The following is a 15,290-nucleotide window of genomic DNA, read 5'->3' as shown; positions in this document are numbered from 1 at the left end:
CAAGAACGTTTTACTCAACATAAATCCAACTCTACATTCAACTGAATCACTGCCTCAGTGTTTCCATCATTTTAACTGCATTAGTAATGCGTTGCTTGGCTTCTGATGATGGACCGAAATGACGTTTCATATAAACCCAGAGTAATATCATACATTATTCTAAAACACTGAAAAAACTCTGAAAGCAACCAAAGAACAAATAGTTTTTTTCTACAGTGTTACTGCTAAAGACACAATGTGTGCTATAGCTGAGGCTAGACATAGACCTGCCTTCAGAATACATCCCATCCTGTTGGTGAAAGGAATTTCTTGTTCACAGAACAAAGGAGGTTTTCTTTTACCTTTGCCAGCTATTTCAAGGATGGACACATCTTGGCCTCTGTCATCTTTCAAGGTTGCCTTGTATTCACCGTGGTCCTTCTTTGACAACTACAAAGAAAACACATTCCATATTTATGTAAAGTCAATACTGCAATCTTAGAAAACGTAATAAACTCTAATACATTTTCTTTGCAAACCACCGAAATTCAGGATGCAAATTAGAGGATTGTAGAATTTACGAGTTATTTGAAAGTGCCGTTTTTGTTTTGCTTTCTTGTGTTACTCAATGCCTGATACCTTTGGGATGAGGAGCTCACAGATTCCCCTCTCCAGGTTAGGCAGTGTCTCCGTTTCATACAGAACATCATCCTTGAGCCATTTGAAAACGGTTTCTTTCTTGGTGTTTGCAACCTGTGAGGTAGAAAGCTTAAGTTTAGTGTGTAAATCATTCTGACTCATGAGAAAAAGAAAGTCTATTAGAATCTTAAATCACAGAGCCCCCCCCTCAAAAAACCTTAGTTTTTACTATAGACAGTCTCAGACGAAGGCTTATGGAAAAGCTGTCGCTCCCAATAACGTCAAACACATTTCTAAATTCCAGCTTCTAAGAAAATTAAGTCCTCACAGTTGCTCACAGAAGGACAAATGATTCTCGTCATTCTAGTCCATGAAATTAGACTAGGCATAAAGATCTTTTGGTCTATATGAAATGTCATTAACAAAGACAAGTCTTAAGCAATATATATGGGGATTTCTGAATAATAGAGAATATTCTGAGGGGTCTGTAAAGCTGGTTGGCAGCTGCTCTTTTAACAGCATCCCATTTCAGGTACAGGGACACAAAGAAAATGAAATCTTAACACAAAAATGCTCACTAGAGGTGAGGACCTTCCCTATACTGAAATTCCTCACAATTCAATCGCTGGCTAGAAACTAAGCTTTGCGGAACTCCGAAGATAAATGAGCATTCCAATTCACATGCTCCGGCATTGGTCTGAGGGACGAGGAAGAATTCTGATTCAGCATGGCAGAATGTTTGAATCCCATGAGATTATACAAGTCTCACAATTCGATGTTCACATCCCATGTGAATTCAAGAAGAGTGATGTTGATGACAAAAGAATGAAAATGATTCAACAGTGTCATCAGCTCTGCTAGAGTAACAGTGCAACACAGCTTAGAATTTCCACATCCGCTATGGGAAATGGCATCGTTCTCGACAGCACTGGGACTGAATCTCTGTGAAGCAGGGGTTTCGTCTGTTTCACTAACACTTGTCCCCAAGTGCATGGCTGCCTGCCTGGCACACAGAAGTTGTCCCATCAATGTTTGTGGAATACATAGATGGAAGGTATCCCACTGAGCTGCAAAGTAGTGTCTTCCTTCTAAATCAGAACCACTCCTTTATAACAAATCTTAGAATGGACTGCGGCTGAGGCTCCACGACTCTAGCAGACGATTCCCTTTACTTTAACATTTCAAAATTTTCTTTGGTGTCTGTTTTCAATGCCAATCTAATTGCTTACTGTCTCTTAAGTCAATACTGTTTTCTCTTCATCTCTTCTTCAAAAAAATTTTACATTGCTGGTCCTTTCCAATAAATGCCTTTCCAATGACCTTCAATTACTGTTTTCTGAAATAAATATCTGTAATTAATGTATTTGTCCTATAATTGGGGGAGACGGTTCTAATTCCCCAAAATAACTCATTTGTTTCTTCTCTGCACTCCCTCAAATTCTCTCTACCATAAACTCTTTAAAATATGGGCACCTAAACTGCACATGAATGTCTAGGAAAGATGATTACATCACCTCTTAGGCTACGTATGGCCCATGCCTGACTCACACTTCCTAAGAGTCAGCGCTAATTCTCCACTTCTGCTGTGTAAGGAATGTTTAACAGATTTTCTTATGTTTATGATTGTGGTTTCTCTGTGTCTGAAACTTTTAAAAATGGTTTTCTCTGAAGTTACAATGTGACTGCATCCTTGCATAAGTTTTTCTCCATCTATTTTTTCACGTTAATAATTTTTAAAATAACCATCTGCACCACATTATTAAATGAAAAACCCTGTAGACAAAATGGTGCACCGAATCACAGGCTTGACAGGGACACAAGTATGTAAATCAAATGTATTAAATTGCACAAAAAACCCTCAAACCTCAAGTAATATTAGTTTTCCCAATATCTGTGTTTAAAGATTTATGAATCACTTTAGTCAGGGAACCTAAAATAATTTTAAATATTTATAGACGGTTCTATCCCACTAAGATGATATCAGAGCCCATGGAAAGCAGAACTCGGGGGTCTCGCCACTGGCCTTGGGAGTGCACACACACCTTGTATGGCACGGTCAGAACAACAATACCAACAACAACAAAAAGAATAAACCAGCACCATAACCAAGTCACACTGACTTGCTCTGGGCTTTGAGTTGCTGACTCCCTAAGGAACTGATTTTTGCAGTGCTGATGTCTAAAATTTGGAAGAAACATACCTTTCTGTGCAGGGTAAATAATTTGAGAAAGTTGTTTTTGCAGCATGAATGGACTACATACACAGGCTATCATCAGTCACCTGGCAGGATTCTTCCCTTTAAATGTCCATTATGCTTTTCATTTGTTGAGCAAGACTTCTAAAGACCACTTCCCTTGCAGCTTCCTTGCAAGTAACCTTCTCTTCTTTTATAAATGTTTTCATTTCTGAATCTTCCTTTTAAACACACTAGTGCAAGAAATTCACTACCAAAAATAAATCTAAGTATTTTTCTATAATAAATTTACCACAACCTTGAGCATGTTATCGAACCTATCAAATCAAAGCCTTAGCTCTAGTTATCACTAATATATATATAATGTATTATCAATTATATATCTATATAAATTTCTTTCAAGAAGAGAGGAAGGGAAAACAGTATTGATTTAAGAGACAGTAAGCAATTAGATTGGCAATTAAAATATATATATTATATATTTATATATAATATAATATATATATATATATACAGGAAATCAAATTGCAAATTAATTACCAATACTGAGGATGGTCAGAATAGTAAGACGGTTCCTTTCATCACACAAATTTCTAGGAGTAACCTGCACCTATCTAGGGTGTGTTCAACAGCCACCTAGTTCCAAACCCCCATGCCCCATCCTCCTGCAAATCCCCTTGCCCGGGTCCACTCCCGAGTGCACTGCAGACCTCTGCTCCACAGGCACGCACTTGCTCTTCACGGCAGGTCCCCACCTGACACTTAGGCTCATCAACAAGCTCACACCCCAGTGTCCCCGCTGAGGTGGCCAAGTGGAGATCACCAAGGCTTAGCCCTGCCTCCTCTCCATTTATCCCGCCTGGCCTCACTTTCCTGCTCAACTTAGACAGCTGGTTGACCAACTAACGACAGTTAAACAAGACCCAAAGTTCCTATTCCATCTTCCCTTCTTGCAACTTCCATCCAGCAAGACCCCAATCATGAGTCTGTCCCCTGACTCACACTAGGTCACTGGCCACATCTGGAAAAATCAATCCCAGCACCCCTATGTGGGCCACTACGAGCTATCTCCACGTTGATGCACTCAACAATGATTTCCATTCTTAATAAGGAGCTGCTGTCTTGCCTCCTTCAGTGGCAATCACAGCCCACTCCTGCCACTCCCCCCACTGTGGGCTACCTTCCTCATCTTCAACACCCTCCAACCCTTCACTGGAAAGAGTGTGAAACCAACGGGCTGCACTGATGGATCTGCCGCTTGCTCTGCCCTGGTTTTTGGCATCCCCCCCGCCCCCTCATTGTCCTTCACAGGGAGCTGCCCTGGGGGCCAAGCAGCCCCTTGCATGGCTGTGCTGACCTGGTCTCATCTCCCTCCAGGCCAGCACTGCCCCTCCTGTGTCCCCATGTGCTCCCCTTCCTTCACCTGTGAGTCCTCTTCCACTGACCCCTCTGCCTATAAATAGGATTGAGCGTCTCCATCCAGAAGGAAAGACAAAGCCACCCTGACTCCCCTCGCTCTCCCTCACTGCCAGCTGAGCACCTCAGAGGGCAGCGGGCTCCTGCTCGTATCCCCCCTTGTGTCCCATCTCCTCAGCCCACCACGTAGAGACCCTGCCTTGCCAGGGAGTGGGGTTGGAAAGCCCAGCACCCAGCCCGTGCTGCCTCCAGCTGTCCCTGCTCAGCCGGCCATGCAGCGCTGCCTCCAGCCGCCCCTCCTCACCCGGCCACGCAGCGCTTCACTCCAAAGTCCCTCCCTGCCAGAGGCCACCAAGTCACTTGCTTTCCCTCTGAACTCTCTGAGGGTTTCTGCTTAATAATCCTGGAGCTGGTCTCCTCTTCTCCTCTGACAATCTGAATTTTCCAGAATGCCCCAATTGTTTGTGATGTTCCTGTCTCTAAAGGCTGTCCTTTGGCAGCTTGACCCACTTGCGTCATGTCCACAGCCAAGCATTCCCAATACCTCATGAATCCACACACGATATCTCATGAATCCACATGCTCCAGATGACTTTCCCATTGCTGCCAGGTTCACATGTCCTGTCGTGAGCCGGTTATGCCTTACTGACCATTCCACGGATATAACTAAATCTTTGTGAAATTGAATGTATTCTCAAAACCCTAAAACTTGGCCCTCCCCGTACAGTGCTGATCTCAAGAAATATCACACCCACTCGGTCCTCCAGTACACTTCCCTCTCACCCACACCCAGCTACTTGCCAGCCCCTGCTGGTTTTAACTGCTGGATGTGTATCCTAAATCTCCTTCTCTCGGTGGATATGAAACTGCCCTGCTGGAGTTACCATCTCTCAGCAGCCTACTGAAGCGTCGTCCTCCAGCCCTGCCACCTCCAGCCTTCCTTGTCAACCAGCAGCCCGTGTCACTGCACTAACAGCCCTCAGGTGCTCTGTACCCTCTCAGTCCATGGCCAGCCTCTGGGTCCTGCAGGGGAATGCCCCACTTGCCCACCAGCCTTGGGTTTTTTATTGTTTTTATTTTTAAGTGCACAGTTCAGCTTCTCTGTCCCTCCCTGCTGCTGGATCTTCCTAGAACCATCTTTTCCCACTCACTGGCCTGCATAATTCTTAGTCCCCTTGGCACACGCAGCTCACGAATCATCTCTTTATTGAAACTGTCTGTTTACTTTTCTCTCTTATCCAGTAGACAATAAGAAACTAGTTTGGGAGTAAAAACAATGCATTATTGATCTTTTTCCCCCATCCCCTCATCCTGAGACAGTCAAATAGTAGGCAGTTATTAAATTGAAGATTTGCTGCTTAAAAAACAGATTTTTATATTTAGTAATAAAACATATTTCATTACTACATTGTTAAACGAAACTGAAAGAAGTATCTTGTCTCCAAAGCATGCCTTTCCTTTCCTGATGAACTCGTATGAGCAGCACTTCTAGGTGTATTTCACCAGGGCACACTTTCTCATAAACTCACTTAATAATCGTTTAAGTAAAATTTTTATAATCCAACCTTCCATTGCATCCCACTACACTGTAATCTTTTCGTGAAGAAGAAAAGATAAGCACTGAAGTCCAAGTATTAAAAAGTCCACAGGACCCAAAAGCCACTCCGCCCATCCGCAGCTACACAGGCACCACACGTTTCCTCACCAGCATCACAGATCTGGCCACAGCTACTCCCTGAAAGGCCTCTCTGATAGGAACCAGAATGAGATTTATTGTTTTCCTGTTAGAACCGGGTTTCTCACCTTGCAAACAAGTCGAACTTCACATTCTTCCGTGACATCCCAGTGCAAGTACTCAGCAAAATGAGGGCCTAGGGAGGAAAAAAGGGAAGAAAACATATAAAAAAGGAAAAAGTAAACAAATAAATATATAGCTATTATATATATATACCCACACATATATGCATGGTGTGTATATATAATACATAAGAATGTATTATATATATTTATGTAATGCATTTTTGGCAGAACACAATAGCTGTGGAGGATGAAACTGAGATAGTTTTCAGGCCTGGGATGTCGACACGTGTTAACACTGATTCTCCACTGGAATCTGTGCTTCCTGGTAGGAGCGTACGTCTGATGGCTCCTTCTTACTGACATCTCATATCTATTGCTCTTCAGAAAGGAGGCTATTGAAATAATTATATTTTGTTTCCCAAAGTATATGTCTAACTGAACATTCGACAACATGGTAAATAATACCTTTAAATAAGAGAATAGATATGAGATAAAGAAACAACAGTTTGACCTAGCAATTTTGTAAAACACATTTTCTTTAGATAGCATTCAAAATCAAAGACAGGTTTATATATGTTTTTAAAAAATGTTAATCATTTTTATTTAAAATACATGTAGGAATAAGTCATACACTAATACCCTTTTGCCATTCAATGCAAAAATACAAAGCAGATTTGGAAAGTATGTGTTCACTTCTTTCATATACATAAATACATCCTACAAAGTTGGCCCAAAAATGTTCATAATGTAGAAGTAAGTAAAATATTTGTGACTATTAGAAATAAAAACAATGAAAAATAATAAAAATGAATGTTTTGATTTTATGTTTCATAATTCACATTCTAATTTTTCTCAAGAAGTTCAGAAATCCCATATATAAAAATGTTTTTTGAGGCTGGGCGCAGTGGATCACCCCTGTAATCCCAGCACTTTGGGAGGCCAAGGCGGGCGGATCACGAGGTCAGGAGATCGAGACCATCCTGGTTAACACGGTGAAACCCCGTCCGTCTCTACTAAAAATACAGAAAAAATTAACCGGGCATAGTGGCGGGCGCCTGTAGTCCCAGCTATTCGGGAGGCTGAGGCAGGAGAACGGCGTGAACCCGGGAGGCGGAGCTTGCAGTGAGCCAAGATGGCATCACCGCACTCCAGCCTGGGCAACAGAGCAAGACTCCATCTCAAAAAAGAAAAAAAATTCTTTGAATAAACCCTTGGGGTATGTTTGAGAATCTAAAGTGTATCCATTTTCCTTTGTATCTAGTTAACATGTATTTGTAAAAGCAATCTATTTAAAACATATTGTTTGTAGTTAGAAAGTTTAACAGCTCCCACAATCTTAAGTAGAATGAGCAATTTCCTGGTGATAGGAATAGCCTCTACTGCCTTCTCTACATTTCAAAGCCAAATGAAGCCACCACCTCCTCTACCCCCATTCTTTATTCTTTTCATTAAAATTGCTGGACTCCGTCTGGACATTAAAGCTAGAGGCACGCTTTCCTCTTCACTCCCCTGCTATAAAGCAGGTTCCTTTCCTATGCAGTTGGTAAGCCTAACCTCTTAATCATTTAAAACAGCCTTTAGGGTTGCTTGGGATCATGCAAGATCTGCTTCTGACAAATACTCCAATCATCTTTGCTTTATGCTAGGGGCAGGGGAGCCGGTCAGAGTGAGGAAACTCACCTTGTTTCCTGAGAAATTCTTTCCTTTGAAACTCAGCCTCTTCCAGCACAGTCTTGAATGCTAAATTCAATATTTAAAAAAATATATATGAAACATGTTTGCTTCTCTCCAGTCAAAAGAATTTCATTTGAATTATCTTGTATGGACGTGGAAATATTCGATATAGCATACCATCTCCAATAAGAACTAGAGAAGACTGACTTTTGGCTTTCCCATCATGAATCTGCACAGTGTAGGTCCCCTCATTTTCAATACTAAATCGATCCATCACCATCTCAATAATGCCAGTAGCTTTGTCACATTTAATTCTGTGTATCTGCAAGCAAAACAAGGGAAATGGAGAATTATACAAGGAAATCTCTCCTAGTTTTCCCTTGCAACATTTAACAATTGCATCAGCCATGAGATCTCAAGGGATTATGATAGGAAGAAACCAAAATGAAATTTTATCAAGGAAACCTCTGGGTGAACAAGGATCAAACAGTGGGTATGAGCTGTCACTCAGTGACAAAGCCTGGCTGTGTGAGGAGATCTGAGAGTCCAAACCAGGGACCTTCTAGGCAGAGACTCCACACCTACCCAAGAATGAGTTACTAACGTGAAGCAGATAAAATTCACAGGAGAAAATAAAATGATACGCAATTGATATGAATGATAACGATCACCAGCTGATGACAAAAATCCCACATGGATAGCAACAACAGGCAATCTCCACAGCCACTGTCATCTTCAGCTCCCGGGACACAGCACCCACAAGCCCCAGCCTGCTGTGGTCCATCAGGGTGCAGGGGTTTCAGGTGAGGAAAGGATAAATGGACCTCCAACAGGTGTTGACTTTTTTGATCGCTTTTATTTTTTAAATGTTTCATTTTATTCTACAGTACATGCACAGATACATATGAATGTGTTCTATTTAGGTAATCCTACAAGTCAAAGAACAAGTGTTTCTCTAACACACAGATGAATTGAGCAAATTTGATCTTTTGTTTCCCTCTGATTTTGTGATGTTTACTTATTAACTTTTTAACTTCACTAAAACCATTTTCCCCATCTTTATTAATGCTTATTTCTCTTTTTTATGTTTTGTTTGTTTGTTTTTTGTTTTTTTTTTGCTGGTTGCCTTATTTGGGGGCTTGATATTTTTACCTTTTTGTGCTTCTTGATAATTATTAAAGTTATAAATTAATATTAATACTTAAATTTCACTTTTTCACTTAAATAACTCTAATTCTAATGAAACCTTTCAAAACATCAATCAGCCTGTGTAATTTTTAGAACTGTTTCAAACCAATTTCATATGGTATTGGTCTTTGCCAATATATGTTCTTAATATATTAGACCATCTCTTCCTTGTAATTCTGAAAACGAGTTTTCCTGTGTAGCAGTATATAAATTTGTCACATCCCTGTGGTCCCAGCTACAGGGAAGGCTGAGGCAGGAGGATCGCTTGGGCAACAGAGAAAGACCCTGTCTCAAAAAAATAAAAAGAAAAAAGAAATTTTGTTAGGCTGGGTGCAGTGGCTCACACCTGTAATCCCAGCACTTTGGGAGGCCAAGGTGGGCAGATCACCTGAGGTGGGGAGTTCGAGACCAGCTTGGCCAACATGGTGAAACTCCAACTCTACTAAAAATACAAGAATTAGCCAGGTGTGGTGGCGCACGCCTGTAATCCCAGCTACTCAGAAGGCTGAGGCATGAGCTTGAACTCAGGAGGCAGAGGATGCAGTGAACCGAGATCACAGTCACTGCACTCCAGCCTGGGCAACAGAGTGAGACTCTGTCTCAAAAAAAGGGGGAAAGAAGAAATTTTGTCATATATAATGCATACAACCAAACCACAAACATTTGCCCACACAGTTCCCCCTCCCTGCCTGCAGTGCAGCTGTCTTGTTGCTAAGATAGGAGAAAGACTGGAAGGCTGTTGGTTGGTCTGAGAACACTACTTTGCATCACTTCATGATTTCTAGGTTACACTGTATCACAGGAACAGTCCACAGAAGCCTGGACTACCTGCCTCTCTGCTGCTTTGGTGATGAATGCAGGGATACATTTCATGCCTTGGAGTTCCCTGAGGGCCATGCCCCAAAGTTCTGAGCTTGCAGGCCTCTCTGCAACAGTGCAGCTTCTGCCCATCCTTGTCGTGGCCACCTCACCCGAATGCAGCCCTTGTGACTGGCTCCAAGGGAGACTTCCCTGATGCCCCCGGGTGAGGCTTGGTGTTTTATGGGGTTTCCACAGCTCTGCCTCCCTTCCCCCAATAGCACCCTGCCCTTGGGAGCACCCTCCCCACCCTACCTATCCACCTGCCGTCTGTCTGTCTCGCCAGACAATGAGCCCCTGAGAGCAGGCATGGCCTTACTCATCCCTGCAGCCTCACGCTGTGCCCAGCATCATGCCTGGCAGTGAGAAATACCAAACACATGTCCAACAAGGTTCTGATGAGAAAGTCAGCTGGAGGGGGCTTAGCTCACCCTGCCATCTGTGGCATTGAGGTGGCTGTGGTCTCTGACACTACTAAGTGACACTGAGCAATTTTGGAAGATAATTATGCTTCTAGGTGAGAGCCCGCGGACATGGTCAGGACCGGAACTTCCTTCCCAGTGCAGACCTGAGAAGCCTTCTTGATCAACTGAGACCTTCCCCTCCAGATCAGTCATCGGCTGAAACTATGAACCTGTCCCAGTCGGTCCTTCCTCCATCCCTGGCTGCAACTGTCACCTCTCTTCCTTCAACAGCTAACCCCCTGCACCACCCTCTTTGACCTCCCTGCCTTGGTGCAGCCACACCCTGGGCACAGAAGCCCCACCCCAGGCAGCATCTGGGGTAGAGACCTCCCAAGGCCTTCACCTGCTCCCAGCTCACCTTCCCCACACCTCTGCTCACTCAGCCTTTGGGATGTGCTAACAGATACTGAAAGGTGTTATGGCTGCTAGTGGATTGTGTTGTACTCCACCTGGATGATACAGTGTCTGACATTGAGCAGGGTCTTGACGGTAGAAGGACCACATCCCAGTGTGTGACTCATCCTAAATGCAGCAGTAATGCAAGGCACGATGGCGTCGAGGGAATCCAATGTCCAGCGCGGGACTCGCCCCAGCCATGCCACCGTAGAATCACGGGAGTGTGGATGCCCGGCCTCGGCTTCCTCGTGCCCAGCGTTACCAATACGGTAGTCTCAGCTGCTGTCAATATTTTCTGCAGATCTGCATCTACCTGTCGGATCGATCTCAGCTGGAATTGGGGCAAAGGCTTTCCAGCCTGAATAATGATCTTACCCAGGACCCAAGGAGGCTCTTGGGGCCACATGAGCAAAACAAAAAACTAATAACCTGTGGTGCTCGGCAAATGAGGCAGGCGTAGCGGGAGAAGACTCCGTCAGCCCTTGGAACCACACTCCTCTCACAGCCCTTGCCTTAGCAGCAATACTGCAGAGAATTTCTATCTGCAGGTGACAATGTAAGTTTAGCCAGAAAATCAGCAACCTTCTTCTGATAAATCACGTGCATTTGTTTTCACATGTTCTTCTTTCTCTCTGAGTTTACATTTCTGTTTTGATATTGCAAATGCCAGTGCCACCGGAGAGGCTTTAGAAGACGAATATTAGCAAACTGGCCACTTGGTTCAGTTTCTCTCTCTGTGTTCATTTTCTTCAGCATTGTTTCTAAGTTCTTCTGCCTGACATTCAAAGTCTGTATCTTCTGACCCCACTCCTATTCCCCAACACTATTTCCTAAGATCACTCAGGCAAACAGCCCCCTCCGTTGAGCCCACCCCTCCACTTCCCTGTGTCGCTATTCCCTGATCATTCCCCACTCTCTGTGCACTAGAGCGGCTTGGAATGTCTCATTCTCTCCCTCCCATCCCTGACCCCCACCCCCCGACCCATGATTTCTACCTCCTTAACACCCATTTCAATAACCCTCTACCCTTGAAATCCTTCCTGACTACTTCAGCCTCTTCAACTCTCTGCCTTCTCTGAATTCTGAGAGTGTTTACTGTACTGTTTTAATATAACCTGGGTTCTATCTTTCTTCTCTGTCCTCCTCTAATTGAAGGTGTATTTCTTTGACTCCGTGACAGTCTCTGTAAGGGCAACTTCACATCTGACTGTTCTGTCCCTGCTGGTGTATTGGCCAAGTGGATATTCAACAGGTGATGTACAGGGTAGGTGCTGCCGTCCACTGGGAAAGGAAGAGGACCGCCCAAGCTCCCAACAGCTCCCGGGGATGCTGCAATTTTTGTTTCATCGAATCTGACATTCAGGGTTTACGTGTGAATAAAGTCTGCTCCACTCCTACCCCAGGTTTTGATTTCCCATAAACACAAAAATCACCTTCGCAATTAGAAATTACAATATTATATCAGAGATGTAGATCACACAGCGTATACTTGTGTAAGATCACTGAGACTTTTTCTAAACAGAAAACTGGCACAGGAAATTGGTACATCTACAATGATAGAAAGTGACAGAAATGAATGAGAAGGCATGACCTCAGACTGTTTTTGAGGGAGGGAGATTATTTTAAGAAATGGCTCAACTGCAGGAAGCACAACAACTTTGTCCCCGTCCCTGGAGACTGACGTCGCTCTTGGAGGTACCATGAGCAGGAGAGGGACCTGAGATTCCAGTGGATACACCGTCCCGTGGACCTTGGATTTCTTTACAGTGTGGAGTGTTTACTTCCGAATATCAAGAGTAAACTTCAGGTTGATCAGATAAATGCACTGTCCTTATTTGTATGACATTATCCTCACCTCAAACATCTATGAGTAGAGAATGAATGATAGGAACTTACTTTAACTGGCTCTGAGTAAGAAAAAGGTATGATTCTCACTGAGTAGATTCTCAGCAATATAGCAGCTTTTTCCATTTTCTTAGCTGCTGTGCTGCAATGTCTGGGCAGGTTTTACAAAATAATTAGGCTTCTTGCTAATGCCATTATGCAGCAAGATGAAGTTGAATGATTTTATGAGTGCCATAAATACAGACTTTTATATGTCTTCCACAAAATAGCATCAATCTTCAAATGTAAAAGTCACCTGTGCATTGCTAATTAAAGAAGTGAAATAGTACAACCATATTCCAAAAGATTAGCCATGAAGCCAGGGCACCCATCCTGAAAGCAAGCTCTATACAGCAGGCAGGAAGTGCTCATCAAAAGATATCCCGCAAATAAAGTGCCATTCCCCTAAATTCCCTTTCATTTCATAGCATGGTCTCTGCTCAAAGAAGATTTCTCCAATTACCTGGATCAGACAGTAAGTCTCCCATAGGCAATAGTTATACCACTGGCTTTTTTGCAGCCCAAAAGAAGCTAGATGTTTTCTACTTTCTAGCCGACTCTCCCACGTAGGAGTGAGTCTTAAAGTGTGTCATGATTCTCATGGGAAAGACTGACTGGAGAAGAAAATTCTATGATCCTTACCTGCAAGACTTCTGTCTGATCAACATTCATCTAACTGAGTCCTGCTAAATGCCCATCAGACACAAAGGCTGGACTGCAATGAGGGGTCCAGCTTAGAAATATGGTAGGGGGGCTGCCCGGGAGCATGAGAGGCTCCTGCATCCCACAGTTCCCCTAAAACTTGTGTAATGAACAAACCAATCAACACTGAGGACTTAGTACACAGCTAAGGTTGCCAACCACACTCTACACTGGGCATTAAGGGAAAAAGGCAGAAGCAGTAAAGATGGGGGCTCTGAGAGAGCCCCAAGCCACCACTGAACAATAAAGTCCCCATGAAATAGGGCTGTCCTTTAACCGGGTCCCAGGCACGCTATAATTAGAAAAGAGGAAATTTATTGAAACACAACCATTGGCTTCTCAAATATTCTCCAGACAAATAAGGAGTACCTGACATAATTGTTAAGGTTCATTTTATACAATCGAAAGCAGAACCGAGGCGGTGTCTGGACCGTGACAGAGCATGTGCCTTTTTTGTTGTTGTTGTTTTGAGACAGAGCCTTGCTGTCTCCCAGGCTAGAGTGCAGTAGTTCAATCATAACTCACTGCAGCTCGGACCTCTCAGGCTCCAGTGATCCTCCCACATCAGCCTCCTAAGTAGCTGGAACTACAGGTGAGCATCACCATGCCCAACTAATTTCTTAAGTTTTTGTAGAGATGGGATCTCCTTATGTTGCCCAGGCTGGTCTTGAACTCCTGGGATCAAGCAATGCCCCCATCTCGGCCTCCCAAAGTGAGGAGATTACAGGTGAGAGCCGCCATGCCTGGCCAGAACATCACTCTTGACAGCCACACTGTCACATCAGTCTGCCACACCAAGATTGCTGCCCAAACAGGCAGAGAAGCCACAGAAACTTATTCCCCACGGATGCCTTCCATGGGAAGCTGTCAGTGGGGGGAGAATGCAGGGAGGCCTCTCTCACAATACAGCAAAAAATAGATACCTTCAAAACCATTATCAAGAATAAGTGAACTGATTCATCAAGGATATTTTCCCCCACCTGACCTAAACCTTTTCACAAAAAACAAGCTCAAAGTCATTTTTAATTCCAACAGGCTCAGATTTTAAAGACTCCTGATGTCTCCTGTAACCCAGACCAAACCTTTGAACATTGTAAGAATCAACCATCTCCATTCATCTTGTCAACCTTCCATGCCCCAATCTTTAAGGCTCAGAAAAGGATGGAAACAGACAGAGAATGTTGATATTCAGTAACTGACCTACCACAACAAAAGTGGACTCCCTGCAAAGCCAGAGATCACTCACACAGGAACTCACCTCGCTGTCAGAGACTTCTCTGTCGTTAATAATAAATCGGTAGCTGGCATCTGGTGATAAGTGCTCAGCCTGGAGCCAGAAGCGAACCCGCCCCTTATCAAAAATCTCATAAGCTAATTCCGATTTCAGAGGAATTGCTACAGGAAGAAAAGAAATCGCAAGTCAATAATGCATGAATCCTTGTGAGGAAGAATACCTGCAAATTGTAGGGAAATATCAATCCTAGTTATTAGATTTTTGAGAATGTGAAACCCTGGAGTATTAGATTATGGAAGCTAAAAATATAAAATAAAACTTGAGCTGGCCTGTTGTTGCCTCTAAAGCCTCATGCCACATGAGTTCTCAGTTAGCTTTGCAAATGTGTTCGATAAGTAAAGATGCCTGGATTCTTTCTATATTTAATGCAATTCAATAACAGAAGATTTCACTTGATAGGAAATGAAATCTTGGATCTCACTCGGATTAGCAACAGCTATACTAAACCCAAAATTCTAATCACTGTGTACGCAATGCAAGTTTCAACAAGCTATAATATAAGCTAATATTTGTTTTAAATCAATAGGTTTCAATCCTGTAAGCTGGGATCAGGAAATCAGGCCATCCTTTCCCCAAAGCTGTTCTTCCAAGAGCTCATGCATTAATGAACACGGCCCTCCAGCCAGCAGCTGCAAGCAGAGGGGAAGGGCTGGAGGCTTACTTACTGGGGTTCTTTATTTCATTGCTCAATGCCATCAAACGCTCGAGCTCTAAAACGAAGAAAAAGTATTTCAATTCATCTGGACCTGCACCTAGAGAAGTTTGTAGACAACAGCAAGGCGACACACGAGCAAGATTGGAA

The 15,290-nt window shown here is 43.3% G+C and overlaps 1 protein-coding gene across 1 annotated transcript in view; it reads right to left on the bottom strand.

The window, feature by feature from the left end:
- MYOM2 (myomesin 2) overlaps positions 1-15,290 on the bottom strand; it is a 100,411-nt gene that overhangs the window by 21,473 nt on the left and 63,648 nt on the right. Inside the window, exons 24-30 of the mRNA NM_003970.4 lie at positions 15,154-15,198; positions 14,453-14,589; positions 7,880-8,024; positions 7,709-7,768; positions 6,032-6,099; positions 619-732; positions 342-429 (exon numbers count right to left, since the gene is read on the bottom strand). Of these exons, the coding sequence (NP_003961.3) occupies positions 342-429; positions 619-732; positions 6,032-6,099; positions 7,709-7,768; positions 7,880-8,024; positions 14,453-14,589; positions 15,154-15,198 (657 nt within the window). The remainder of the gene's footprint in view (positions 1-341; positions 430-618; positions 733-6,031; positions 6,100-7,708; positions 7,769-7,879; positions 8,025-14,452; positions 14,590-15,153; positions 15,199-15,290) is intronic.

The sequence above is a fragment of the Homo sapiens genome, chromosome 8 (genome assembly GCF_000001405.40).
Source record: "Homo sapiens chromosome 8, GRCh38.p14 Primary Assembly".
Classification (NCBI taxonomy): domain Eukaryota; kingdom Metazoa; phylum Chordata; class Mammalia; order Primates; family Hominidae; genus Homo; species Homo sapiens.
The sequence above is the reverse complement of the archived record's forward strand: the minus strand, read 5'-3'. Positions and strand labels throughout refer to the sequence as shown.